The 16,498-nt window shown below is 37.0% G+C and overlaps 1 protein-coding gene across 4 annotated transcripts in view; it reads left to right on the top strand.

The window, feature by feature from the left end:
* Positions 1-16,498, top strand: part of GSK3B (glycogen synthase kinase 3 beta) — a 273,127-nt gene that overhangs the window by 248,492 nt on the left and 8,137 nt on the right. For 2 of the 4 annotated variants that reach the window (NM_001146156.2, NM_002093.4), the window contains one exon: positions 2,603-2,701. The exons of the other annotated variants lie outside the window; for them this stretch is intronic. In NM_001146156.2, coding sequence (NP_001139628.1) covers positions 2,603-2,701 — 99 coding nt within the window. The remainder of the gene's footprint in view (positions 1-2,602; positions 2,702-16,498) is intronic. 4 annotated transcript variants of the gene reach the window in all.

The following is a 16,498-nucleotide window of genomic DNA, read 5'->3' as shown; positions in this document are numbered from 1 at the left end:
TGTATATCTTTTTTGGTACCAGTACCATGCTGTTTTGGTGACTGTAGCCTTGTAGCCTTTGCTGATGCCGCCAGCTTTGTTCTTTTTGCTTAGGATTGTCTTGGCTATACGGGCTCTTTTTTGGTTCCATATGAAATTTAAAGTAGTTTTTTCTAATTCTTTGAAGAAAGTCAGTGGTAGTTCGATGGGAATAGCATTGAATAATCTATAAATTACTTTGGGCAGTATGGCCATTTTCACCATATTAATTCTTCCTATCCATTAGCATGTAATGTTTTTCCATTTGTTTGTGTCCTCTCTTATTTCCTTGAGCAGTGGTTTGTAGTCCTCCTTGAAGAGATCCTTCACATCCCTTGTAACTTGTATTCCCAGGTATTTTATTCTTTTTGTAGCAATTGTGAATGGGAGTTTGCTCATGATTTGGCTCTCTGTCTGTTATTGGTGTATAAGAATGTTTGTGATTTTTGAGATTGATTTTGTATCCTGCGACTTTGCTGAAGTTGCTTATCAGCTTAAGGAGATTTTGGGCTGAGGCGATGGGGTTTTCTAAATATACAGTCATGTCATCTGCAAACAGATAATTTGACTTCCTCTTTTCCTATTTGAATACCCTTTATTTCTTTCTCTTGCCTGATTGCCCTGGCCAGAACTTCCAATACTATGTTGAATAGGAGTGGTGAGAGAGGGCACCCTTGTTTTGTGCTGGTTTTCAAAGCGAATGCTTCCAGCTTTTGCCTGAAACGTTCAGTACCGTATTGGCTGTGGGTTTGTCATAAATAGCTCTTACTATTTTGAGATATGTTCCATCAATACCTAGTTTATTGAGTGTTTTTAGCATGAAGGGCTGTTGAATTTTATTAAAGGCCTTCGCCACATCTATTGAGATAATCATGTGGTTTTTGTCATTAGTTCTGTTTATGTGATGAATTACGTTTATTGATTTGCATATGTTGAACCAGCCTTTCATCCCAGGGATGAAGCCGACTTGATCATGGTGGATACGCTTTTTAAGGTGCTGCTAGATTCGGTTTGCCAGTATTTTATTGAGGATTTTTGCATCTATGTTCATCAGATATATTGGCCTGAAATTTTCTTTCTTTCTTGTGTCTCTGCCAGGTTTTGCTATCAGGATGATGCTGGCTGCATAAAATGAGTTAGGGAGGATTCCCTCTTTTTCTGTTGATTGGAATAGTTTCAGAAGGAATGGTACCAGCTCCTCTTTGTACCTCTGGTAGAATTCAATTGTGAATCCATCTGGTCTTGGGCTTTTTTTGTTGGTAGGCTATTAATTACTGCCATTGGTCTATTCAGAGATTCAACTTCTTCTTGGTTTAGTCTTGGGAGGGTGTATGTGTCCAGGAATTTATCCATTTCTTCTAGATTTTCTAGTTTATTTGCGTAGAGCTGTTTATAGTATTCTCTGATGGTAGTTTGTATTTCTGTGGGATCAGTGGTGATCTCCCCTTTATCATTTTTTATTGTGTCTATTTGATTCTTCTCTCTTTCCTTTATTAATCTGGCTAGCAGTCTATCTATTTTGTTAATCTTTTCAAAAAACCAGCTCCTGGATTCATTGATTTTTTTTTTTTAAGAGTTTTTTGTGTCTCTGTCTCCTTCTGTTCTGCTCTGATCTTAGTTATTTCTTGTCTTGTGCTAGCTTTTGAATGTGTTTGCTCTTGCTTCTCTGGTTCTTTTAATTGTGATGTTAGGGTGTCAATTTTACATCTTTCCTGCTTTCTCCTGTGGGCATTTATTTAGTGCTATAAATTTCCCTTTAAACACTGCTTTAGCTGTGTCCCAGAGATTCTGGTATGTTGTGTCTTTGTTCTCATTGGTTTCGAAGAACTTATTTATTTCTGCCTTAATTTCGTTATTTACCCAGTAGTCATTCAGGAGCAGGTTGTTTAGTTTCCATGTAGTTGTGCGGTTTTGAGTGAGTTTCTTAATCCTGAGTTGTAATTTGATTCACTGTAGTCTGAGAGACTGTTTGTTATGATTTCTGTTCTTTGGCATTTGCTGAGGACTGTTTTACTTCCAATTATGTGGTCGATTTTAGAGTAAGTGCAGTGTGGTGCTGAGAAGAATGTATGTTCTGTTGATTTGGGGTGGAGAGTTCTGTAGATGTCTATCTACAGAACTTGGTCCAGAGCTGAGTTCAAGTCCCAAATATCCTTGTTACTTTTCTGTTTCGTTGATCTGTGTAATACTGACAATGTGGTGTTAAAGTCTCCCACTGTTATTGTGTGGGAGTCCAAGTCTCTTTGTAGGTCTCTAAGAACTTCCTTTATGAATCCGGATGCTCCTGTATTGGGTGCATATATATTTATGATAGTTAGCTCTTCTTGTTGCATTGATCCCCTAATTTTTGTATTTTTAGTAGAGACGGGGTTTCACCATGTTGGCCAGGCTGATCTCGAACTCCTGACCTCAGGTGATTCACCCACCTTGGCCTCCCAAAGTGCTAGGATTACAGGCGTGAGCCACTGCGCCCGGCATAAACTGGTAGTTTAATGCAGAATCTTATTTTCACTCTTACCAATAAAATAGTTTTGCATACAAAGTTAAGAGTGGACTCTAACATTTGTGTCTTAACCTTCTATAGAACTGTCAAGTAATCCACCTCTGGCTACCATCCTTATTCCTCCTCATGCTCGGATTCAAGCAGCTGCTTCAACCCCCACAAATGCCACAGCAGCGTCAGGTAAGAACGTTCTAAGTCTCTTCTATAAAAACATATTCTGGGCTGGGCATGATGGCTCACACCTGTAATCCCAGCACTTTGGGAGGCCGAGGTGGGTGGATCACCTGAGGTCAGGAGTTTGAGACCAGCCTGACCAACAAGGTGAAACCTTGTCTCTACTAAAAATAAAAACTTAGCCAGGTGTGGTGGCAGGTGCCTGTAATCCCAGCTTCTGGGGAGGCTGAGACAGGAGAATTGCTTGAAACCGGGAGGCGGAGGTTGCATTGAGCCGAGATTGCGCCACTGCACTCCAGCCTGGGCAACAGAGCAAGACTCCATCTCAAAAAAAAAAAATTCTGTTTTTCAAAAAGATATGATTACCTTTCATTTCATTTGATGAGTATGAACATTTAATATCTTTTATATATCAAAAACAGCACAGCCAAATGAGTAAACCTGAATAAAATTTTTTGCTTTATTTCCAAAAAGCATAAAACAAAAGCACCCACCCAGGTACCTTATATATAAGATATAAATATCTTCTGATAATGTTAAATTCTGTCATCTTAGTGAGAGGATCACTCGAGGCCAGGAGTTCAAGATCATCCTGGACAACATAGTGAGACCCCATGTAAAAAATAAAAATAAACTTAAAAAATCTTTGAAGTTACGGTTTTTACATAATTTCAATAGGAAATCAAATCAAATGAGATGTTTATAGCTGAAAACATATAAATATGTTGTTACTGAAAATAATACACTTTTGTTTTTTTCCCCTCGAATGTAAATTGCAGTAGTATACTAGAGAGGCAAATATTTTCAAGAAGTATAAATTATAAGTTTATACTTATATTTAATCATTTTTTTAATCATTTGAAAGGGCTAAAACTGCAATGCAAATATGTTTAACTGAGATTTAGATCAGAATGTGACAAGACTCTTATATACCAAAAAAAAATTATTCACGGGTTAGAGCTAGGGTGTGCTGCAGGGCCTGAAGCCAGCTAATGGTGGGGCCTGATTTAGTGAGAACCGGTGTCCTTGCAAATATTCTGAAAATATCCAACCCTTAAGAGTGAAGTGAAATTCTTCCAAATAATGACTGGATGCTTTTAAAACTTAAAAGTTTTAAGTTAGAAACATAATAGGTAGCACAGTTAAGGGCTCAGAATTTGGCACCTTTTTTTTCTCTCTCTCTCCAAAAAGCTAATGGCAGGAGCTGACTTCATTTTCTTTAAATAGTCTTGAACTGAGTTGGATCAGATCCATTTTTGCCTAAGGGTATTTATGCTGCAGGAGATAAAATCTTTCATTACTAGTTCTTATCATTAAACAGTAAGGTCAAAATCCATGTCTTGTTGTTTGATGGTGTTGTTTCTGTCTAATCTTAAAACTTTTAAAATGTTGCTAATAAAGATTTAAAACATTTCATTCTAGTTCATGTTCAGGAAAAGTCTGGAAAGAAAGATCTCTTTTCTTGTTCCAAGTTTATCAGCACATGCTACCTTGAGAAAGTAATTTGAACTTTATTAGTTTAATTAGTGTCTTATTCATTTTCCCAGTCTGTAAAATGGAGTGGCAATTACTTTAGGACAACATTTGTCTTTACTTGTCTTTATTTGTCTGTACTTTAGGACAGCATTGCCACTCCATTTTACAGATTGAGAAAGTGTGCTGAAATCTGCTTTAAAATTTTTAAGGTAAAAAGATTTTTTAAAAGTATGACCTGTTTAGAATCAAGACAGAATTGCTATAAGCCATTAACAAATTTAATACTGGCCCAGGTTACGTTAATTGTTCACAACATGAAAAAGGCCCTAACTCTGAACTAACACATTTACTTACTGAGCTCATTTCTACAGTTTTACTAGAATGGCTTTACACTGTGTATAAAAATGAGTAGGTTTTGAGCAGTTTAAAGTAACTTTCTTAATGCAAGATAGCGAACTAATTAATGATTGTGACTTATGTTTTTGAGCAAATTGTCTGCTTAGTAGGAGCCTAGTATAACCTGATTTTCATGTTGTTTTGATACAGGTTACAGCAAACTGAAAAATAATAATAATTTACATGTGTATATTTTTACAGCTATAGAAATCAGATTTCAACATAAAAATAGAAACTGACATTGAACTTTGACTCTGAGAGTTTACTCCAAAGTTGAATTGGGGTATAGTTAATAGAGGAATAGTAAGCTGAGGTCAGAGCTAAAATTAGTTTAGAGAAATGCATGCCTTGAGTACCTTAATAGTTACCGAAGAGGATATTTCAGATATTGGTCTGAGCTAAAGTAAATAAAGAAGTGTTATAATTCTGTTAAAATTTCCCATTGTTCATTAGATTGAAAGCACACTGGTGGCTTAGAAAAAACGGTGTTTCTGGCCCTGCTGTTTAAGAAATATTTCTCCTTTAGGGCCTCAGATTTGGTACTGAAAGAGATACAGTAAATGAACTTAACATCATCATTCTAACAAAAAATGTGAGTTTCAAATAGATACTTTTTTTTAAAGTTCCCCTTATTGTAACCCAAAAACAGTTTAACCACAGTATAGTTAAACAGTTTTCTATGGCGCTGCAGTAGTGAAGGCCCAAGTATGTCACCAAACATACTTCAGGAAATGCTGGTCTAGACCAAGTGATTGATTGCTTGGCCTTCCGGCTGCCTGTAGTTTAAGATTCATGTATGTTTTAAATAAGAATTTGTCATTGTGAGTTACATTCTTTTGTAAGACCTTAAAATATATATGTCCTCGGCCAGGCGCGGTGGCTCACACCTGTAATCCCAGCACTTTGGGAGGCTGAGACAGGCAGATCACCTGAGGTTGGGAGTTCAAGACGAGCCTGACCAACGTGGAGATACCCTGTCTCTACTAAAAATACAAAATTAGCCGGACGTGGTGATGCATGCCTGTAATCCCAGCTACTCAGGAGGTTAAGGCAAGAGAATTGCTTGAACCTGGGAGGCGGAGGTTGCAATGAGCCGAGATTGTGCCATTGCACTCCAGCCTGGGCAACAAGAGCAAAACTTTGTCTCAAAAAAAAAAAAAAAAATTCTCGGCATCAGACATGTTTTTTTTAAAAAGCCATGTGGAGGGCAGGATTGACATCCATCCTCTTATGACAAAAGAACCTATGACTTTTCTTTCCTGGATAAATGGACATGCATCTCTCCACACAGACAGAGTGAGGGACTGCTAAGCTACAGACATAGCCGAAGCTTTCCTCACAAAGCATTTCAGGATCTGCTCCAGAGTACAAAATAAATAAATAAACTATTAAACTATAAAGCTCTAGACCTTGAATATCTGAACCTGGAAATATTTCAAATTTAAATTTTCAAAGAATTTCTAATCACCCATCTAAGCTACATCACCACAGTAATATACCCCCACATACCCTGGGGCGAATTAATTATAATATGAACCCCTAAGTAACTAAACTAGTTGTCATACTTGATTTAAATCAGTGTAATGGAGCACATAACATCAAAATGATTCGTATCTTAGAGGTGGAGCCACTTTTAGTTTATGACAGTCATATCAACAAGAAGCAAAATAATACTTAAATAATACTTAACCTGTTTTCAGTAGCCTGAGAATGTGCCTCCAAATCATCTAAAAATGACCTTACATCACTAAAATACAAATTCAAAAGACTACCATAACTGAATTATCATCTGATCTGTTAAAATACCATTCCTGTTGTTGCTCAGCATCATTGCAATTCAGGTACTGTCAAGTATATTTGTGTCTAGAGCAAGATCATCAGAATACCGAGGCTCCTAGATAAACTGCTTGGGACACTTTTTATGTTTATAGCTGGCTTAAACAAGAATGGAGTTTTCTGACATTTGTGTAGACCTGGGAACAAAGCTCAATCCTAAAGTATGTGGAATAAAAGCAGAAAAACAAAGCATATTGACAAAGATGCCATCAACCATTATCATACTGACTATATTATGGTGAAATAAGCTTTGGATTTTAGTCAGTTACTGTTGTTAGCCAAAGCTGTTAAATGGCTTTCAGATATTTAAGTCTTATTAAATTTTAAATACATTATAGGCAGAAATCTAATTCTCTATATTGCTGCTTCTGAAAAAGCAAAAGAAAATAGACATTTTCATACCCAGATTGTGGCCTAAAATCATACTGTGCTAATTCTGGGAATATGTAATTGTTCTCTGTCATCACCAACAAACTTTGACTAGTACAACAAAATATCACAATTCTTTCTCACCTTTGAAAATGGTAAAGATGGTGCAAATATTAAGTTTGAGGACATTAACACTGAGGGAACTGCTTTTGCAGATGTTTCAACTTTCCTTTTGTTGTGTTCTGCAACTGTATGTGAGCTGATAAAAACTTGTGGGAAAGCATTATAGTATAAAACAAGAGCTGTCAGAATTCAGAATTTTTAGTTCAGTAATTCCACTTTAGGGATTTTAACTTCAGGATAAATCTATTGGAAAGAAAAAGGCTATCATATACAGAGAGGGGAATCACATAATATATATAATCATAAATCATATAATAAAACAGTATGTATTAATATATAACAAAAAGGAGAGCCAATGTAACCTGAATGGTCAACAGTAGGAAATTGTTTTAATACATTGTGGAATCTCCATTTTTATGTAGCCATAAAAAACAATTTTCATGAAGCTTGTGGACATTCATGGAAATACTCATCCTAATTTATGTAGAGAAAATTTTAAAATCTCATGAACCTTGTTGGTTACTATTGTCAAAATGTGTATTTTCATGTGGATAGGGACTAGACAGAAATATACAAAACTGTAAACTGTTGTGCTAAATTAGTGGGTATGGATGTTGATTTTTTTCCTAAAAAACATTCTTTATAAGTTGTTTTTAAAATGCTTTAGTATCTAGAGACATTATTGTTAATCATGGCTCTGATTGACATGAGAATCTCTTGAAAATTACCCATACTACTATCAATTCCTAAAGTATAATTTCTTTGTTTCTTTTTTTGAGACAGAGTCTTACTGTTGCCCAGACTGGAGTACAGTGTGTGATCTCAGCTCATGTAACCTCCAACTCCTGGGTTCAAGTGATTCTCATGCCTCAGCCTTCCAAGTAGCTCGGATTACAGGCGCGCACTACCATACCCTGCTAATTTTTTGCAATTTTAGTACAGACGGGGTTTCACTTTGTTGGCCAGGCTGGTCTCGAACTCCTGGCCTCAAGTGATCTGCCTGCCTTGGCCTCCCAAAGTGCTGGGATTACAGGTGTGAGCCACTGTGGCCAGCCAAAATTCATAGTATAATTTCTTATGTCGACTGAAATATATATATATATATATATATATATATGTGAATGGTCAACGTAGGAAATGTTCAACATTTATATATATAAAATATATATTTATATATAAAATATAAATATATATTATATATGTCTTATTTTCTTTGTACACCCAGTCATCTCATTCACTCCATTTAGGAGACCATTCATCTGGAACATCTAAAGTAATAAATCTCAAGACATTATCATTTTCCTAATCAAATACAAACCATTTTAGAGAGCATCTGCTCAGATGAGTTGAATGTGAGATGTTGTAGGGAATTTCAACTAGAGCAGTTTTCTGGTTTTATCTGTTTGGTATATTGGTCATCAGCATAAAGTTTCTTTCAATGCAATGGTTCTGCTGTTAAAAACCATGGATTTCAGTTCACCTTTCATTATCTACCGAGAAGTGGTCATCTATCCCATGGTTATGTATATTCAGTAATAGACATTATTGCAAGAATGAGCACATTTTTATCTTTGCATCACTCTATTAGAAAAGTTTGGCCAGGTGTGGTGGCTCACGCCTGTAGTCCCAGCACTTTGGGAGGCCGAGGCGGGTGGATCACGAGGTCAAGAGATCGAGACCATCCTGGCCAACATGGTGAAACCCCGTCTCTACTAAATATACAAAAAAAAAAAAAAAAATTAGCCGGGCGTAGTAGCGGGTGCCTATAGTCCCAGCTATTCGGGAGGCTGAGGCAGGAGAATGGCGTGAACCCGGGAGGCGGAGCTTGCAGTAAGCCGAGATCACGCCACTGCACTCCAGCATGGGCAACAGAGCAAGACTGCTCTCAAAAAAAGAAAGAAAAGTTTATCCTTTTTTCACCCTGAAATTTATTTCTGTATGCCTTCTTCCAGTCAGTGATTCTACTATGAAATTATAACAGAACCATCCAGATCCTTCCATGTAAAAGTCCTTCAAATGTTAATGATAGCTAACTTGCCCTCCATACTAATGACAGCTTTAAATCCTAATCCTGGATTTGTTCTAAAGTATTAGGGTATTGGATTTTCTACCCAATTGTATGTCATCTGTACATTTCACAAACATGTCAGTTTTTTACCTCCATCCAAGCAACTAATAAAACATATCAAAGAGGACAAGGCAGAGCCTACTAGAAATGTTTTGCCTTTATTCAAGTTACTGATAAATTCATTGGAACTGGGCTGGGTTTCCTAGAGATTACTCTTCTGGTGGTCTCTTAGTGATTGGTCATTCCTCTTCGTGACTGGTCATTCCTCTTGTTTGCTTAACTACAGACCAACCTTTAAAATGCCCATTTATAGGAGGAGGTTATAAAAAGCACTTTGTAAAATGCTTCATTGTTTTAAGAAAACTTTCAGCCTTTTTCCATTAAAAAAAAAGTAACCATATCAAAGATGGAAATCAAACCGTTGTTTTTAAGACGGGGAAATTTCTAGTGCCTAAATATCTGTAAGCTGTGAGTTTCTGTAATCCGTTTTAGATTTGTTTCTTGGACTATAGATTGTGAGTTTAAAGACATTTAAAATTTTTGATTGCCCTCACCTTCCTTGGGGCACATTTTATTTATTAGGATTTTTATTATATCTTTTCAAGTTGAAAACCCTTCTAACAGAAGGGGGAGTCATGATAACATTTGGATGAGGTCTGTCATTTTACGTGGTCTGCAGGCTTAACTTGTCTTCATCTTGGTTTGAAAAGCTCTTACTGTTACTTTATTTGCATTGAGATTATTTGCAATTACTTGATCAAAATTTTGTTTATGCTTTTCTATTTCTTGTTAGTTATTAGCCTCCTTTGAAGACTTTAGCCACAAAATCATACCTATTTGTTCTTCAAACTTCTAAAAATTCATTTGGCTATAGTCTCGTTCAGATTTTGCTATGGCTAGTGGCCCCTTTGTCTTACAATTACAATTATTTTCACCCCAGAATTCCTGTTACCTACATACCAGCCAATTCTTTTTAGTTGGGCAGAATTAAACACAGAATAATTTCTCTCATTGTTTGTTTCTACTGTTTTTGAGAGGTGAAATGTTAAGCAAATTGTCAGTTTATTAGATGCTTGCTTTTCTAAAATGACAGTTACCCTCCCTCATCCTTTCCCCAGGTACTACTAATATTATTCCTGGTCTTTGGGCCAGTTTTACAGTGTACATTGGGAAAGCTGTGTTCATATTCTGTCTAGTGTAGAAGCTGCAGTGCATGCCCTGTTGTTCCTCTTTGTAAACTTGTTCTTCCTGTTTTCTCTTTATCTTAACCCAAATAGATTTTAAATTTCATAAAAGTCTGCAACTTTTTAAAAAAAAACAAAAAAGCAGGCATTTTTGTCTATCAAGAACATATAGTGTATAGTTATTTTAGGAAGTAAAAATTGCCTCTATTCTACTTTCAAAGATAATCACACATAACATTATGTTTTAGTCTATATATGAATGGGCAGAGAGACATGTTTTTTAAAAAATGGGCTTAGGCTATTTAGAGGGTGAAGGTATAGACTGTAGTATTCAACCAATATCCTAAGGCTATACCATAGTTAATTTCTTATTCTTGGACTTTTGGTTTGTGTCGAAGATGGGGTTTTTTGTTTTTGTTGTTCTGAAAAATGCTTTGAAGATATCTTTGCATAAAGCTGTACTTATTCTTCTAAATTTTTAGAAGTAGAGTCAAAAAGTATAAAGAATTTTAAAGTTTAATGTCAAATTGCTTTCTGAAAGTTTGTCCCGCTGTCAGTTCATACTCCCCACTGTCAGTACAAGTACTTTTCTATTTCCCCATTGCCCCATGTCCTCATAGAGTGGGAGTAGGGGAAGTACAGTGTGCATGTGTGCACATACACATTTTTAGGTGTTACCAACTTGGTAGCCAATTAATATGTGCATCTTTTTTAGGTACAGTGTTGCATCCATTTCCTCCTGTTGGCTCTGCATTTGAAATACAGACTTCCATTTTGAACTATACCATTTTGACAAATTCACTGACACCAATGAGATTGTATCTACCCCATGTTAGGGTTTCAGGTTCACTTTGTGAGTTTGTATATAGATACCTAAAATCAAACCAGCTTAGTCATTATTCTCACCAGAGCAGTCCTAGACATCACTTCTAGAAGTTCTTGCTTTCTGTGCAAAACATGTTCTCTCCTATCAAGTCAAAAATTTTATCTCGGTTTTTCCCCTCCTCTAAAAGTAATTTAAAATCTGGATTAAGTTGGAATTCCCTATCAGACATTTTTCCGTGTGTCCCTGAAGTGTTCCTCAGTTCCTTGCCTGAAGTCACCTACTTTTATTTATATGTCCTTTTTTTTCTTTATTCCTAAATTAAGCATTTTAACTTAAAGGAACAGTGAAAATGTTACCTGTGTGTCCCCATGACCTTCAGTTTTCTACCCTGAACAGCCAAACTTCTTAAATACAATGTGCCCTTTCCCTGAGCTCACAGGGAACTGAGACCTCTCAGCTGCCAGCAGATCAAATATAAACAGTCTTATTGACAGGTCTTCCAGGTATCCTGGTGGATGGGGTTGGCTCACAGGCATCCGAATTTTACTGCTATTTTTATAATCACTGAAGGCTACCTTAGTGTTCTGTGCCACATCTTTTCCTTGCAGGTGTACTTTGATTTCATGAGTGTAAATTATAATTTCAAATTAAATATAAGTTTAGGGTATACTTTGATTCTCTGTGAGTAATTATCTTGTTTGTTAATGTGCCAGTTAATAACATTAATATCTAAGACATAGTTTTACAGTAGAAGCATTTCCACTTGGAACAGCTTGAGTAGGAACATCCTGAGTTAGGTACACAGTATAAATAATATCTCCCAGGCTGTTAATTTTATCTTCTAGAGAGATTGACCTGTCATAAGACATTTCTAACTATTATAGAAAGAGGATACCTGATAAGTAGAAACACGTAAAATGTGCTTGGAAGAGATTGTTATTGGGCAAGAGCGTAGTAAAGGAAATACGGGAATAAAAATATACCTGGCGGGGTGCAGTGACTCACACCTACAATCCCAGCACTTTGGGAGGTGGAGGCGGTCAGATTACTTGAAGCCAGGAGTTCGAGACCAGCCTGGCCAACATGGCGAAACCCCATCTCTACTAAAAATACAAAAAAAAATTTAGCCAGGCATGGTGGTGCGTGCCTGTTTAATCCCAGCTACTCGGGAAGCCAGGAGAATCCCTTGAACCCAGGAAGCAGAGGTTGCAGTGAGCTGAGATTGCGCCACTGCACTCCAGCCTAGGTGACAGAGTGAGACCCTGTCTAAAAAAAAAAAAAAAAAAAAAAAACAACCTAATGTTTCCAAGTGTACTTATAAAGTGCATGTAAAACACAAAAAGGCTCATTTGATTTGTCTAAAATATGTTATTTTACTAATATGCCAACAATATAAATAGTAAAATGTTTAATAATTTTGTAGCTGAGAACTTGAAATGTGTTGAGAGCAAATAAGGAACTGAATTTTAATCTTTAACGTCAATTACTTTAAATAAATAGCCTTATGTAGTTAGCAGCTACTATATTAGAGAATATAAATAGAACATTTCTGTGGTTGCTGCTGGGCCAGATAGTGAGCATTTCAATAAATCAGAAGAATTTAATTTTTTATAGACACACAGATCTAGAATACTAATTCATGGTGGCAGGGCCTTTGGAACCCTGTCTCCTATGTTTATTTTCTGTCTTCTCCTCCCAACCCATTTCCTTGTTTTCTACTCTCTTTTTATTTAAATCCTTTGGCAGTAGGTGTAAATGGAGACCTTCCATTCACTCTCCTTCCTGTTCCTCATTTGCACCTTTGATCAACCACATTTGGGACAGGGAGTATGGACAGGACCATTTGTGGGCGGGGGGTGGGGGGATGCAGACAGCAAGGAATCAAGGCAAGAAATTCTGCGTTTATGACTTGAACATTTGGGTGGGGCAGTTTCCTCAGTATTGAGACAGTTGACCATTAATCCATGACTCCATTATCTAGCCAACTCTTACAGATCTCTTGAGAATCTGAAAAAAACAAACAAACAAAACAAAAAATGCTGTAGATCCTGTCCTATAAAAAGAAATTATGATACCAGATATAGAATTTTACATATGAAAATTTACTCCAGGACAAAAATCACAGCCTCATGGACTCTTTTGGGAACCTGATACTTAAGGGTTCTACCCTTGGTTTCACTGTGGGACTGCCTAAGTTGTGTTTTACCTCTTATGTCACACAGAATAAAATTGGTTTTAATACATGTGCCAATTTGCTTTGCAGCATCTGGTACAAAGCCATAGAGCCATAGACTTTTCAGAAAACAATTGATTCCTGAGAAAACAATTCTGGAAAAAAGAATTAAATCTAATATAATCCTTTTTTGTCTTGTACAGTTTCTTAGAAGCACACCTAATTGTGTAGGGAGATTTTGTCAGCGATTCCCTCATTGGCTTGTGAGTGCAACCCCTAAATGGCATTTAAGTTCTTCGACATATACATGTGTGTTATCTATTTCTGCATATTAGTTTACCCCCCCAACATTTAGCTATTTAAAACAAGAGTAAACATTATCTCACATAGTTTCTATGGGTCAGGAATTTAGAAGCAGCTTAGCTAGGTGGTTCTGGGTCAGAGTCTCATGACATAGTCAAAACATTAGCCAGGGATGCAGTCGTCTGATGACTTGCCTGGAGGCAGAAGCTCTGCTTCCACAGTGGCTCTCATTCATGTGGTTATCAAATATGTGCTGCCTGTATGCAGGAAGCCTCAGTCACTCAATAAGTGGCCCTCTCCATAGTGCTACTTAAGTATCTCACATCATTGCAGCTGGCTTCCCCTAGACTAAGTAATTCAAGAAAGAAGGCAATGCAGAAGCCACAGTATCTTTTATGTCCTAGCCTTGGAAGTCACACACCATTATTTCTGGAATATCCTATTAGTTACACAGGTCAGTCCTATTCAGTGTGGGAATGGACTGCATTAGGCATGGATACCAAGAGGCATGAATCATTGGGGTCATCTTGGAAAGTAGCTACCACAGTGTGTAGGGATGATTTTGTACCTTCCTTTCCTTCCCCACAAAGCTGATTGTTCTATTTCCTCTTAAGTCCATCCTTGGTTTGGGGGCATTTTTTTGTTTACTTGTTTTTCCATAGTAGCATTAGACAGGTGATAATGGGCATTGGTTTATAGGAAGCTTCAAAGTCAGTGAAATGTCAGTTCTGTAGTTGTTTGCAGAGCACTTATATCTCTGTACACCCCATACTGAAAATAAAGTAACTGTGCTCTTAATCTTAATTTTTCTTATCATAAACTCACTCTTCTCTTATTTTTTTTTTTTTTTGAGACGGAGTCTCGCTCTGTTGCCCAGGCTGGAGTGCAGTGGCATGATTTCGGCTCATTGCAACCTCTGCCTCCCAGGTTCACGCCATTCTCCTGCCTCAGCCTCCCGAATAGCTGGGACTACAGGCGCCCGCCACTATGCCCAGCTAATTTTTGGTATTTTTAGTAGAGTCAGGGTTTCACCGTGTTAGCCAGGATGGTCTCTATCTCCTGACTTTGTGATCCGCCCACCTCGGCCTCCCAAAGTGCTGGGATTACAGTCATGAGCCACCGCGCCCGGCCCACTCTTCTCTTTTAATGTAAAGTCTCTTACAGATAATAGAAATGTGCCTGTAGAAATCACAGTGATTTTATTGAGGTTAGTTCTAAATGAAAGTCATCTTAATCTCTTTTCTTCTTTTGCTAGGAAATCTTTTCTGCTGCCACCTACTGCCCATAAGATGGATTATTCTCCTCCCTTGTGCTCTGTGTTCCACTCCCCTACTTGTTAGCTATATGGTCTTGGGCACATTCCTTAATCTATTTGTGCTTCCTTTCTCCTATTTGCAAAACAGAGGTAACAGTTGTACCTATTTCTCAGATTTGCTGTGTGAGCTAAATGACATGACTGCAAAATACTTAGTGTGGTGTCTGGCATATTGGTAAGCAGTATGCTGTCACTAGTATTTACTTTGGTGATGATGTTGGTTATTGCAGTCACACTAGATTATAAATATATGTATTTTTAGATGTCTCTTTTACCTTCCCATCTATTGAACAATTGCTGTATGCCAGATACTGTGCTAAGCACTTCATAGGCCTCATTTCATAGGTGGGTGGTATTACTACCATTTTACCAATGAGGAAATGAGAGATAGATTAAATAACGTGTTCCAAAATCACACAGCTATTAAGTTGTACAAGTAGGCTTCATACTCAATAAATGTTTATAGAGTTGGTTTAGTTTTAAGAAAGATGTATCAGTGTGAAGTTCAGAAGAGCATCTCTGGTTGAAAACAAGAGACTAGAGTGGGTTAATGATCCATAGTCAGATCATTTATAATGAAAATGATCTTAGCCTCTCTTTTAAACCATAATGCCATTTAGCGTCACTTTACCAGTGCATATGTAACGGGAAGGGAATGTAAGGAGAAGTAAAATGAACTTTGCTGTTTTTATGTTGTGGAGTCACTATTTAAATGTTTGAGAAGAAAAGTTACAGAAATTACACTAAACTAAATCCAATGACAATTTATCGGAATTTTAAATTAATAAACATTTTAATAGAAAGCTCATTAATTCAGATTCCATTGTGTAAAATAAATTTACAGAGTGATGGTGGGAACAAAATAAGCATGTGCCAAGATTTGTTTCTTGAGTTATTTCTAAAAAGGTGGTAATCTGTGTTGTCTTGTTTCCTGATCTTGAACTAGTTTCTTCCCAGCCACCAAGAGGTCAGCTCCTCCTACTTTACCTGGCCCAGGGGCCAGTCCATCTTTATGATGGGATTGTAGAGATTATGAAATGTAACTTTACTCAGTCAGTAAGCTGGGTGGTCTTTTAAACCTACTATTGAGTATTGAATTTATAGAACTTTGCCTTTTTTTGTTTTACTTTTTCCCTCTCTGTACTTTGTCTTCCTCTGAAAAAGAGAACTCTGTTCTTCTCAGCAAGGACATGTGTGATTTGATTTTAAGTGGAGCTCATTGCATCAGGCAAAAGTTTTTTTGATGAATGTCTGTAGGACTGTGACTTTCGATATCAAAGATATTTATAATCAAAATAATTAGCGTTAAAATTATGTTCATTAAGTGATTTGAAAATAATTCAAGAGAAAAATATGAGATCATTACAGGTCTGAAGAGCATGGGTGTCTATCAAATTTTATTGTTCAGAAAGTGAATTTGTTTCTGGTTTTATGCTCACTTAAAAGGCTTGTGCTTTTTACTGTGATCATGCAAGCAGTCGTTGAATTTATCCAAGAAAGAGGAGACTGGTTTTGGCAATGTCACAAGCTCACAGGCTGTAGTCAGTGAAAGGACATCTGCACATTAATGCCAAATAGGATTTTGCTAAAGAGCAAATTAACATAAATGGGCTGGTGGCCATGTAGATGAGGTAAAACTGATGTCAGCCAGTGTAGTTAATGGCTGCCGTGGCCAGAGCTGCTCTCTCCATGTTGGCATGGGTGCTGATGTAGTGGTCAAACAGATAGATAAAT

The sequence above is a fragment of the Homo sapiens genome, chromosome 3 (genome assembly GCF_000001405.40).
Source record: "Homo sapiens chromosome 3, GRCh38.p14 Primary Assembly".
Classification (NCBI taxonomy): Eukaryota; Metazoa; Chordata; class Mammalia; order Primates; family Hominidae; genus Homo; species Homo sapiens.
The sequence above is the reverse complement of the archived record's forward strand: the minus strand, read 5'-3'. Positions and strand labels throughout refer to the sequence as shown.